This window comes from Homo sapiens, chromosome 3, assembly GCF_000001405.40.
Source record: "Homo sapiens chromosome 3, GRCh38.p14 Primary Assembly".
Taxonomy (NCBI): Eukaryota; Metazoa; Chordata; class Mammalia; order Primates; family Hominidae; genus Homo; species Homo sapiens.
The window spans coordinates 195,294,895-195,308,230 of record NC_000003.12 but is presented as its reverse complement, the minus strand read 5'-3'; the positions used below and the strand labels follow the sequence as shown (position 1 = coordinate 195,308,230).

Below are 13,336 nucleotides of genomic sequence, written 5' to 3'. Positions count from 1 at the left end.
TAGGGCCAAAGGTTATAGGACAGAATGGTTAAAAATTACATTAATTAAAATGTAAGCTGAAAGTAATTTAAATAGAACCCCTTAAATTTGTTAATATCGTTTTATATGTTTGTTTTCCTGAACCTTATTTTAAGGATGAGGAAGTTTTATTTATGGGAAAGACATATTGGGATTACATGTGAGTTGAGAATATTAAAATAACTAGAAACAAAAGAATAAATCATTAGTTAATGGATAACTTGCTTTTCACCTAGTTACTTTTTATGAATGATATTCTGTAAACTGCAGATTTCAAATCTCTACTCTTGAGATGACACAATATGAAATTTTACTTGCTTGGTTCTATGGTAGCAGGTTTGTATGACAGAAGCCCTTTAATCAGCTAATTATTAGTTCATGGTTTCTTCTATTCTGATAAACTTGGTTTTGAATTTATATTTTTATTAAACAGTAGAAAGTGATAAAATCTTTCTGATTCTCCTAGGTATTTTAAGAAGTTATAGCTTTCTTTGAGGTATTTAAAACTTGACTGAATAAAAGCTTCTCTTTTGGAGGAAAGTAGCTTTTATTATATGTGAGTGGGGACCAGGAGAGTGAATATAAAAGAAAATGGAAGAAAAGCCACAGAACATTAACATTTATTGAGCATCTACTAAGTATCAAGTGTTGGACCAGTCTCTTTATATGTAAACAATTTCATTTAATCTCTATATAATTTATGAGGTAGATACAGTTATTAACAGGACAAAATTACTTTTATGTCTATATTGATAACCCCTGTTTCTAAAATAAAATATAAATCTTGAAAATTAGACCAGTTATGCCAAGTAATATTTTTAAGTATTTCATTATTGGTAGTATTAAAACCTAAGTGGAAAAATATGGAAATTTGGTTTCCTCACTATAGGATAATCCGACTGTGGTAGTTGAAGACCTCAGGCTTTGCACAGTGAAACATTGTGAAGACATAGAGCGACGATTCTGCTTTGAGGTGGTCTCGCCAACAAAGTAAGTGGTTCTAAAGGATCTGTGATTTGCTTTTATGTTTTTATAGTTTGTCTTAAATAACTTTCCAGAGTAGAGAAATTTGCATTTGTCTGTATCTGTGCTAAAGAGAAAAAAAAGTTTTAAAAATAATTTTCAATAATTAATGGTTACAGATATTATAGTCAGGTATTTATGTAACTTCTACCATTTATCCTATTCTTTAAATTCCATAAAGGTGATTTATGGGCTCATATGAAAGTTTTAGCTATTATGATGAATTGAAATCATATGAGTTTCTTTGATAACTATCATTTTATGTTTGTACCCAGTAGAAAAAAAAATGAGTGTTTCTATATTTATATGGTAAATTTAAGTGGTTTTTTTTTTTTTTAAATATTCAGTGATGGGTTATTTGTTTTTAAGAGATAATTTGTTTCATTGGCACCTTAATTTCTTCGTTAACATACTTTGCCCTAAAGATACATGAAATAAAACCTTCTTTCAACAAATTATATATATTTTTGGCTAGAAAATTATTAAATAGCAAAGTGGAAAAAATATAAAGCTTATAGGGTGTTTTTGGCATTAACTTAGTGTCTGAGAAAACAATATGTTATTTCCTTTTAGAAGTTGCATGCTCCAGGCAGATTCCGAAAAGCTGCGCCAGGCATGGATTAAGGCTGTTCAGACCAGTATTGCTACTGCTTATAGAGAGAAGGGTGATGAATCAGAGGTTAGTAGAGGTATTAGCAATACCAGATAATATATTGCCAAAATTCTTGATTTTAGTTGCAACGTTATATGACTGTATGTAGCATCGTTTGTTATGGAAGATGATTTTATGTAATTGAGTTTTATTTTTAAAATCTGGATTTAATTTCTTTTTTGTTTATTTCTCTTTATTTCACTTACCATTTTATTTCAGTATTTGTGAATCTATGTTTAATATTTGAATATATGAACCAGATCGGAATAAGGTATTTCCCTGTTAGTGTTTTTCCCCAAAAGTATTGTGCCATTTTAGTTAATTATAAAATAAAATAATGATCATGAAAGGTGTTTAAAACTGAATGAAAGCAAAAAAGGGAAGCATAATATTGTCTCTTAGGTGAAGGCCCCTTAAAAATATAAGGTGAATGTGGGAACTTAGGTCATAGTCTGGCCTCAGTTTCTCAAAGAGCTTACCAAGAAAGTCTTTTGGGCAACGCAGTGAGTGAGTAAATGGGTCCTGAGAAATGGAACTCAGCACTTTTGGGTCATCTGGCAAGACTGTGGCATAGGCTTAGTGATAGATAATTGTTGGGAGTATGGTTAGGGGGATCGACTGCTCTCTAAATTGTATTCCAAAACTTACCGTGGCCAACTTCCAGCTCCCAAATATAGATCATAGATCAAAGCAGAACCTTTTCAGGCATGGGATTATGGGGGGACGACTAACTTGATCCAAGCAGAAAGGCTTAGAGATGAAAGTAGGAATTTGATCAGTAGCCACGTTTGCGTGAACTTGTCTGGGTACAAATGATGGGAACATTGACGAAGGGCATGTCAGCAAAGATAGCCCTCAATACGTCTGTCTCTAGAATCACACTTCTCCAATCTGGACCAGTTGCTCCCTAAGCCTGCAGCATGGCTGTCAGTCTGGGATTTCCTTACAAAATCATTTCTGGAGTTTCTTCTCTTTCCTGTATCCCATATCTTTCTCCTTCTTGGCTTAAGGAAAACTTAAGTACTTTCTCTAGTAGCTTCCTGAAAATGAGGCATTTGTGATTCCATGCATATCTGAAAAGGTCTTGGTTCTGTCCTCATATTTGATTGGTAGTTTGGTTGGATATTTTAAGATTGGAAATAATCTTGAGAATTTTAACAGCATTGTTTGTTTTTTAGTTTCCAGTGTTGATGTTGAAGCTTTTCTTATTAATGACCTGCTGTATTTCTCCTCTCCAGTTGCTCTGTATTTTCTGGATTGGTATTATGATTTTCTTATTTTTGTGTCCGTGTGTGTTGTTTTGCTCTACTTTCTGGGAAATCTTCTCAGTTAATCTTCCAAGTCTTCTATTGAATATTTCAGTTCTGCTAGCACATACTTAATTTCCAAGAGCTGTGTTTGTTCACTAAATGTTTACAGATATAGACCTGTTCTTTTTTCGTGGAATCAGTGTTAGAGCTGTGGATCTTAACCATCATTGCATACTATGATGTCACCACACAGGGAGCTTGAAAAACCCCCATTGCTTAGGTACCACCCCAGAACACTTGAATGGAGTTGGGCATCAGTACTTTCACAAGCTTCCTGGGTTAGTTCCATAAACAACCAATGTTGAGAGCTATTGCGTTAGAGGCTTCCTTTGGCTATCTCATCATAAGTGTTAGGCACTAAAAACTTCTTTGGAAACTCTGAGCACAAAATTAGGACTTTGTTGACTGTGGCCTTTGTCTAAGTCTGGACCATTTGTTGAGGAACAACCATCGTCAGGGTCTTTTTGAGTCTTTTCGGCTGATGTGATTTCCCAGAGAAGACTCATTGATCTCCTGCATAGCTATGAGGGATTGGTGGGGAGCTAAGCACTGGGTATCTTAGCATATTGTATGTATATGTTCATTTAATCCTCTGGCTTCCACCTTTCAGGTGAAGTCGATTCAGAGACTCTGTTTTAATCCTCCAGAGAATAACTTCCAGTCATTGTGTTTGTGTAGAGAGCAGTCATCCCCTAGTGGCATGGAGATGGGGGGCAGCGACAGTAGGATTGAACTGTCCTGCTTAAACAATCATTCCTCCTATTAATACTTTCGTGAATTGGTGTCATATTCAGTGCTGTGTTCCTTGAAGTGGCTGACCCAAGTTTTGCTGTGTTTGTGTACTTAGTTCTCTAATTTGGTGCAAAAACATTAGCATATAGAGAAAACTTGGGAATGAACCAACATGATTTCTGTAATATAATATTGATATTCTTTCCTTACATAATTGCTAATTCCCATTATCGAACATATTCTGGTAAAACAAATATTTCTTTCTTAAAATTTCGGAATAATCCTAAACTTACAGGGAAGTTTTTTTTTTTTTTTTTTTTTTTTTTTTTTTTGAGATGGAGTCTCACTCCATTGCCCAGGCTGGTGTGCAGGGGCACGGTCTCAGCTCACTGCAACTTCCACCTCCCAGGTTCAAGCGATTCTGCTGCCTCAGCCTCCCTAGTAGCTAGGATTACAGGCATGTACCACCATGCCCGGCTAATTTTTTTTTGTATTTTTAGTAGAGACAGGGTTTCACCATATTGGCCAGGCTGCTCTCGAACTCCTGACCTTGTGATCCACTCACCTCGGCTTCCCAAAGTGCTGAGATTACAGGCATGAGCTACTTTGCCTGACCTGAAATGTTTTTAAACCAGAAGACTTTTTATAGACCATATCTGTCATTGTTTAGGATCTAAGTACCACATCTTTGTATTCGGTCATTATGGCCATGTAGCAGGATGGCGGGGAGACAGAGTCTTGCCCTGTTTCCCAGGCTGGAATGCAGTGGTGTGATCATAGTTCACTGCAGCCTTGACCTCCTGGGCTCAAGCAGTCCTCCTACCTCAGTCTCCTGAGTAGCTGGGACCACAGGTGCTTACCACCATGTCTAGCTTATTTGTTTGTATGTATGTATGTATTTATGTACATATGATGGAGTCTCACTCTGTCACCCAGGCTGGAGTACGGTGTCATGATCTTGGCTCACTGCAACCTCTGCCTCCTGGGTTTAAGTGATTCTCATGCCTCAGCCTTCTGAGTAGCTGGGACCACAGGTGTGCACCACCATGCCTAGCTAATTTGTATGTATGTATGTATTTATGTACATATGATGGAGTCTCACTCTGTCACCCAGGCTGGAGTGCGGTGGCATGATCTTGGCTTACTACAATAGCCCCCTCCCGGGTTTAAGCAATTCTCATGCCTCAGCCTTCTGAGTAGCTGGGACCACAGGTGTGCATCACCATGCCTAGCTAATTTGTATGTTTGTATGTATGTATGTATTTACGCTCATATGACGGAGTCTCACTCTGTCACCCAGGTTGGAGTCTCACTCTTGTCAACATGATCTTGGCTCACTGCAACCTCCGTTTCCTGGGTTTAAGCTATTCTCATGTCTCAGCCTCCTGAGTAGCTGGGATCACAGGTGTGCGCCACCACGCCCAGCTAATTTTTTTGTATTTTTAGTAGAGACAGGGTTTCACTGTGTTGGCCAGGCTGGTCTTGAACTCCTGGCCTAAAGTGATCCACCCGCCTCAGCCTCCCAAAGTGTTGGGATTACAGACATGAGCCATTGTGCCCAGACATATTCTTTTTTAGAGACAGGCTCTTGCTCTGTTGCCCAGGCTGATCTTGAACACCTGGACCCAAGTGGTCCTCCCGCTTCAGCTTCCTAAAGTGCTGGGATTACAGGGGTGACACCGCTCTCGGCCAAAAAATTAACTTTTTGTTAATCAGCCATCTTTTGCTTTTCTTCTCTTTTACCTAATATCCCTTGAAGTTTTAAACATTGTATGTTCTATATTTGATTCACTCTGTAGTTATAATTTTGTAGTTGATCTCTTCTTTACTATTTATATAAGCTCATACCTTTCCTAGTTACTCACTGCAGTAATTAACTTGCCTTATCCCTGAGAGGTCTGAAAAAAAAAACAATGACTAGCTTAAAGTTTATTGAACGCCTTGGAAAAGTGTGGTATAAAACAATAATATTTATTTCATTCTTGAGTTTGAATAATCCCTTACCTATTTCCTCTGTCTCCACCCTGCATGTTAGACTAGTGTTCCCTTTCTGTCTTCATCTTTTGTACATATGTTCATTGTGTCATTTATTATATATAATTTTAAATGTTTACACGTTTCTCCCCACTGGAATAAAAGCTCACTGATGGAAGAACCTACATCTTTTTATCCTTGAATTTCTAGCTAGACTATTGCCTTGCTTATGCCTGTAACAGGCCTTTAATTTATTGATTGGAAGCTTTAGTTTGGAGCATGTAGTGTGCAACAAAGTATTTCAATCTTTTTTTTTTTTAAAAACAAGTAATTCTTAATTCTTTTAGAAGCTGGATAAGAAATCATCTCCATCCACAGGAAGCCTAGATTCTGGAAATGAGTCCAAAGAGAAATTATTGAAAGGAGAAAGTGCGCTTCAGCGGGTCCAGTGTATCCCTGGCAATGCCAGCTGTTGTGACTGTGGCCTGGCAGATCCACGGTGGGCCAGCATCAACCTGGGCATCACCTTGTGTATCGAGTGCTCCGGAATTCACCGGTGGGTAGGCCTGCCCAGGATGAGAATTTCTTCTTTTGGATAAACACAGATAGAAATGGTTGTTTCACTTGTTAGTTGCCCTTTTCCACTTCCCTAATTTAATCACCAGTTTGTATCTTTGTACCTTTTAAGAAGTAGTTAAAATCCTGGTTTGTAAAAGCTGTTGAGGACTTTGGTTCATCATTCATTATTAAACAGAAGATCTGTGCCTATATGTGTATGCCGAGGGCTTTATTAGAGCCTGTGTCACGTTAAAACAGAACTTGCGCAAATACGCAAACAGAGACTTGATAGTAATGCAGTCTTCTTTTTTCCACTTAGGAGCCTTGGGGTTCATTTTTCAAAAGTACGATCTTTAACTTTAGACACCTGGGAGCCAGAACTTTTAAAGGTAAAAAAAATTTTTGCTTTAAAATATTTCATATTTTCACATGAAAGTGAAGATTTTAGAATCTTGGTTTACAAATGTGTGAGTTCTTCATGCTACCAATGTATGCTAGCTAAATTGTATTGAAACACATCTGAGGCTATTTTGGCAAATCTGGTGTTTTCATTGTAAGTTTTAAAAATGGCTACATTTGGCTGGGTGCGGTGGCTCACGCCTGTAATCCCAGCACTTTAGGAAGCCGAGGCGGGCGGATCATGAGGTCAGGAGATCGAGACCATCCTGGCTAACACGGTGAAACCCCGTCTCTACTAAAAAATACAAAAAATTAGCCAGGCGTGGTGGCGGGTGCCTGTAGTCCTAGCTACTCAGGAGGCTGAGGCAGGAGAATGGCGTGAACCCGGGAGGCAGAGCTTGCAGTGAGCCGAGATCGCGCCACTGCACTCCAGCCTGGGTAACAGAGAGACTCCGTCTCAAAAAAGAAAAAGAAAAAAAGAAAAAAAAAAGGCTATATTTATATATAGCACTCTTAACTCCAGGTTAGTTCACTGTTCTTGTTTTCCTTGAGACAAGGTCTTCGCTCCCTTGTGCAGGCTGTGTAGTGGCACCATCACAGCTTACTGCAGCCGGGACTTCCTTGGCTCAAAGAATCCTCGTGCTGCAGACCCCCCAAGCAATTGACACCACAGATGCATGCCACCATGCCTGGCTAATTTTTGTATTTTTCGTAGAGACATGGTTTCACCATGTTGCCCAGACTGGCCTTGTACTCCTGGGCTCAAGCAGTCCATCTACCTCGGCCTCCCAAAGTGCTGGGACTACAGGTGTGAGCCACTACCCTTGGCCCAGTTCAGATTCTATGCCTTAATTTTAATCTTTTCTGATTAGATTCTTTTTAAATATATAAGAGGTCTATTGCTATACTAAACTTCATAATGGATTAGAAAAGCTTTTGACACCATTGGGTTGTTTCAGCATACGATGATTTGCAAATTTATATTTGTCAGGTTAGGAGTCATCATACCAAGTCTTCCTTTTTTCCCTGTGTCTAAGAATTTATATCTATGAAAATGTCATAAATAATTTTAGACCACTACCGGTTTCTGATAAGATTTACAAAATTCGAAATAGTAGTATAATCCTTTTAATTCCTGCCATCTAGTTTACCATATTGTAGAAAATAGATGAGTTTAAGGGTTGGAGTATATGCTCATTTGTTTCTGTCTGAAATCCTGTGGCCGGGTGCGGTGGCTCATGCCTGTAATCCCAGCACTTTGGGAGGCCAAGGTGGGCAGATCACTTGAGGTCAGGAGTTTGAAACCAGCCTCGCCAACATGGTGAAACTGTCTCTATTAAAAATACAAAAATTAGCCAGGCGTGGTGGCACACACCTGTAGTCCCAGCTACTCGAGAGGCTGAGGCAGGAGAATTGCTTGAATCCAGGAGGCAGAGGTTGCAGTGAGCCGAGATCGCACCACTGCACTCCGGCCTGGGCAACAGAGGAAGACTGTGTCTCAAAAAAAAAAAAAAAAAAAAGAAAAAAAAAGAAAAAAGAAAGACGGAAAGTAGATACTAATTCCCATTCTTTTTAAAATAGAATGTTTTTAATTTTTTTTGAAATTCACTCATTTTTATAAGAATATTTTTCAAATTTTAATCGTAGTATATTGTGAATTTATTTAGTGTAGAGTAGAAAATGTGTGCCTAACTCTTGATATTTTTTCCAAATTCTCTCTTTTTTTTGAGAGGGAGTCTCGCTGTGTCGCCCAAGCTGGAGTGCAGTGGCGCGATCTTGACTCACTGCAAGCTCCACCTCCTGGGTTCACACCATTCTCCTCCCTCAGCCTCCTGAGTATCTGAGACTACAGGTGCCCACCACCACACCCAGCTAATTTTTTGTATTTTTAGTAGAGATGGAGTTTCACCGTCTTAGCCAGGTTGGTCTCGATCTCCTGACCTCGTGATCCACCCGCCTTGGCCTCCCAAAGTGCTGGGATTACAGGCGTGAGCCACCGCGCCCGGCCTTTTTTTTTTTTTTGAGACGGAGTCTCACTTTGTCACCCAGGCTGGAGTGCAGTGGTGCAATCTCGGCTCACTGCAACCTCTGTCTCCTGGGTTGGAACAATTCTTGTGCCTCAGCCTCCCAAGTAATTTTTTTTTTTTTTGTATTTTTTGTAGAGACGGGGTATTGCCATGTTGCAAAGGCTGTTCTTGAACTCCTGGCCTCAAGTGATCTGCCTGCCTCGGCCTCCCAAAGTGCTGGGATTACAGGCATGAGCCACCACACGCAGCCAGTTTTTCCAAATCCGTAACCACCTTTCTTAGCATCAGTAATTGAAAAATCCTTTCCTTTCCCATCATTTTCTTATTTTTCCTTTGCCTTACATTAAATTTCTTGTAAATAAGGTTGATTTCTGTGCTACTAGTCTGATGCAGTGATGTCTCACAGTACCAGTGCAGATTTTAAAGAAGACTTTATATATAATAATTAGTATCTTTACTTTAAAAATGAAAAATATGCTGTATAAAACTAGAAGTAATAATTGCTCAAAGAAGGAATTAGCACATTTAAGATTTTTAAGAGGTAGCTGGGCTATGGGAAGAGGGGAAAGAAAGTGACAGGGAGAGATAGTAGAAACAATAAATGGAAGGCTGGGCGCAGTGGCTGACGCCTATAATCCCAGCACTTTGGGAGGCTGAGGCAGGTGGATCACCTGAGGTCCGGAGTTCAAGACCAGCCTGACCAACATGGAGAAACCCCATCTCTACCAAAAATACAAAATTAGCCAGGCGTGGTGGTGCATGCTTGTAATCCCAGCTACTTGGGAGGCTGAGGCAGGAGAATTGCTTGAACCCAGGAGGCAGAGGTTGCAGTGAGCCGAGATTGTGCCATTGCACTCCAGCCTGGGCAACAAGAGGGAAACTCCATCTCAAAAAAAAAAGGAATAAATGGAAATGACAGAAGAGGGATGTCATAGAAATAATGGGACCTCAAAAGGGCTCATGATTAAGGAAAAGGAGAGAGGCTGGTGTGGTAGCTCATGCCTGTAATCCTAGCACTTTGAGAGGTCGAGGTGGGCAGATCATCCTTGATGTTAGGTGTTTGAGACCAGCCTGGCCAACATAGTGAAACCCTGTCTCTACTACAAATACAAAAACTAGCTGGGTGTGGTGGTGGCCATCTGTAATCCCAGTTACTCGGGAGGTTGAGGCCGGAGAATCACTTGAACCTGGGACGTGGAAGTTGCAGTGGGCCAAGATCATGCCACTGCACTACCGCCTAGGTGATGGAGTGAGACTCTGTCTCAAAAAAAAAAAAAAAAAAAAAGAGGAGAGAAAGGGAAACCATTCTCTTGCCTATGAGAGTGCTCTTCCCAGACTTCACTCCTGTTGTTGGGTCCAGAGAGCATTGTAATCCTCTTGTTATCTCATCCCAGGCCTTGCCTGCTCCCACATCTCACCTGTCCCAACACTTTAACCTCTATTCTCTACATAGTGGTAATGTTATCTTAATGTGTATTAGTGTCCCTTTTACCTACGTATGATTTTTCAGGGAAATGGTTTGGGTGATCTGCTCTTGGGAAAACTGTTTGTTTTTGTGGTCAAGCCTGGAATTGGGCATAACTAGAAGCAATAAGATTAGCTAAGAAGGTACAGATATAATTTATTAGTGAGGCAAGGAGAGCTTGAACAGAATTAAAGAGGTGAGTAACAGATGGAAAGGAAAATCTAAAAGAATTTGGAACATACAACTAGGTGTTGTTTGTTATCTGAAGACAGAACCCAACCCAAAAAGAGGTAAAAGTTCAAAAATAATTACCAGAAAGTTGTAAATTTGATAGATTTGCATATTTCTAGGAACTAGATGTGAAAACTGAAAAGAATAGATACTTAATGTTTAACTTACTGTCCTAACACTGGCTAGTACTTACTGCACCTTACTGTGTAGATAATGCTTTGTTGTCATACTTCTTGCCTTTCTGTGGACATAGAGATAGATACAATAGCTGTGATATGTGGCTAGATAGATACATAGATAAACTTGTAGAGAGAGAGAATGACTCTGGTGGGGGTGATAATCTTCTAGCAGAGGTAATTTGGTGAAGAACAGCAAGGTGATAATATTACTCTCAGTTCTTGTCTCATTTTGTTTTAACATAAAACTTCTTTGTAGAATAAGCATCTGCAGAATGTGTAAGGGGATTAGTTAACTGTACTTGCTTAAAGGATTTTTAAATTTTAGCTTATTTTAAGGTCTTTAATGTATAGCTTATTTTTCTATTTTTTTTTGCCAAACAGCTTATGTGTGAGTTGGGGAATGATGTTATAAATCGAGTTTATGAAGCTAATGTGGAAAAAATGGGAATAAAGAAACCCCAACCAGGACAAAGGTACTATTTCAGTTGTTTTTTCCCCCTAATTAGGAATATAGCTATGATTTTATTTCACTGTAGTAATTGATATATAACATTGAGACAAAGTGTTTAGAAGCAGTCATTACCACTTCTGTTCGAATGTTGGCTATCTCTTTCTTCGGTATGTTAATTAGATAATTATATTGTATTGAACAGATAATCAATTATAGTCTTTAGAGTAGAAAGATCTTAAAAATTAGGGCTCTGCATAGGAATGTAGAAACCCTTAACAGTCAGTTAAAGTAGACCAAAGTTCTGTCCATGGTAGCATTCAAAAAGGGATAATCTATTCATTACTGTCTCTAAGGATCAAGTTTCTGTTAACCTACAGTGAATAATTTTACATTTTTCATACTTAATTTAGCAAAGATTTGTTAATCACATAGTTTATGCATGGCATTATAATATTGAAGAACTAAAGATGCAAAGTGTGCCTCTGAAAGGGGGAGAGTACTTGATTGCTGTGTTTGAAATTATTCTTCCAATTCTGTATAAGGAGGGCTCATTGAATGAAGTGGCTAAGAGTTGGTACCTTCAAAGCACATGATTTTTGTTGTTGATACTGATTTCTGTCTGAGTCTTCATGTATGACCAATTGTATTTGAAAGTTATTGCTGTCTAAACCAATACCATTTAAATCAGAATCTTAATTATTTACTAAAACAAGACTGAGTTATTTCAGACCTTGAAATAGCCTTCTATTTTAACCAAAGACCTAAACTTTTTAAGAGGATATAAGTAAAAAGTATAGAACAGATATGGCATTTTATAATGGTATCATAAGTTACAAGTTTATTTTATTTCTTAAATTAATAATGCTATATGTTGTTTTAAAGTAGTCTTATGAAAAATAGCCATCAATAGTGCTCGTTCAGTATGTGAAATTATTTATTTGAGTAAACATGAAAATAAAGTTACTTTCTATAAATTTTTAAGTTTTTTTTTTTCTGGTGATGTTTTCTACTCTGCAAAAAGCATGAGGGCAGTATAGAAATGAATAGCACAGAAATTAAGAGAAGGGAAGAGTAGCATGTTAATACTAGTGATTTTTCAGTTAGGTTACTGTTTGTATTTCACTTGAGTGTGAAATCATAGTTCATTAGGTATTTGGAAGGGAAACATAATATATATATGTATAATGTCACAGATTCAGTTTTAACCAGTATTACATTCAGTGACTTTGTTTGAATATGTTCAGTATATAATGGCTTGTTGTGGTATTAGCCATGCTGAGAGATTAAGCAAAACATCATGACATTTTTATGTCTGTCAGACAGGAGAAGGAGGCATATATCAGAGCAAAATATGTGGAGAGGAAATTTGTGGATAAATATTCTATATCATTATCACCTCCTGAGCAGCAAAAAAAGTTTGTCTCTAAAAGTTCTGAAGAAAAGAGGCTGAGCATTTCTAAATTTGGGCCAGGGGACCAAGTCAGAGCATCTGCCCAAAGTTCAGGTATGGCAAACTTTCTTACTGTGTCTATAGCTATTTTCTTAAGCTCAAATCACTTTTATAATCCCTGAACTAATAGCCATTGTCGTTTTTTTTAATGTTAAAAACCTGTTCCCTTCTACATATTCTAAGAAAAACTGAATTTCTGTGTCTTTAAAATAGTTAACTTTAAACAATGCCATAATATTTCACCTTTCTAGGTAATGTGTATATTCTAAGGAATAAAACTGCTTAAAATGCAAGGGGAGATGGGAATTATAAACCTGACATTTCAAAAGCCCTAAGTATCTGATTAACTACCTGATTTCCTTCCTATTTTTTCCTCCTAAATTTTTTCCCAGTAACGTTTTTTCCTGCCCTTTTCCCTTCTTATGGCCTGCTTTGTGCTTTGCTAACTTGCATGTCCCCAGTGATTGCTGTAAATAGCGACGAGGCCAGGCGGGAGTCTCTGTTTTGTCCTGATGAGCTAGATTCACTCTTCTCCTACTTTGATACTTCTTCAAAACTGCGTAGTAGTAAGTACTACTCTTGTGGAGCATTCCAAGTCTGTGCCAGTGGTCATTGTGCGGTGTGGCCATTTCTCTAGATGTTACCCATTGTCTCAGAATTACACGTTACTTACAGTCATATAATAAATTAAGCTCTTTACTACCCCTGACATATTATGGAGTAATGAGATGTGTTAAACTCTGAAAATAAGTTTATTTTCAGGTTTTATGATTGATTTATATCTCGATAAGCTAAGTGTTCAAAAGGCTTAAAATTATATTAAATGCATTCTCCTTGTGGTGCCTGAGTTCATGTTGATGTGTAAGA

At 38.2% G+C, this 13,336-nt stretch overlaps 1 protein-coding gene across 13 annotated transcripts in view; it reads left to right on the top strand.

Moving 5' to 3' along the window:
• The window catches only part of ACAP2 (ArfGAP with coiled-coil, ankyrin repeat and PH domains 2), a 168,276-nt gene that overhangs the window by 134,790 nt on the left and 20,150 nt on the right, over positions 1–13,336 (top strand). For 8 of the 13 annotated variants that reach the window (XM_011512603.3, XM_011512602.3, XM_017006047.2 and 5 more), the window contains 7 exons: positions 908–1,008; positions 1,615–1,720; positions 6,057–6,265; positions 6,587–6,656; positions 10,950–11,041; positions 12,339–12,523; positions 12,931–13,035. In XM_011512603.3, coding sequence (XP_011510905.1) covers positions 908–1,008; positions 1,615–1,720; positions 6,057–6,265; positions 6,587–6,656; positions 10,950–11,041; positions 12,339–12,523; positions 12,931–13,035 — 868 coding nt within the window. The remainder of the gene's footprint in view (positions 1–907; positions 1,009–1,614; positions 1,721–6,056; positions 6,266–6,586; positions 6,657–10,949; positions 11,042–12,338; positions 12,524–12,930; positions 13,036–13,336) is intronic. The other 5 variants (NM_012287.6, XM_006713557.4, XM_017006049.2 and 2 more) reach the window with 1 other exon arrangement.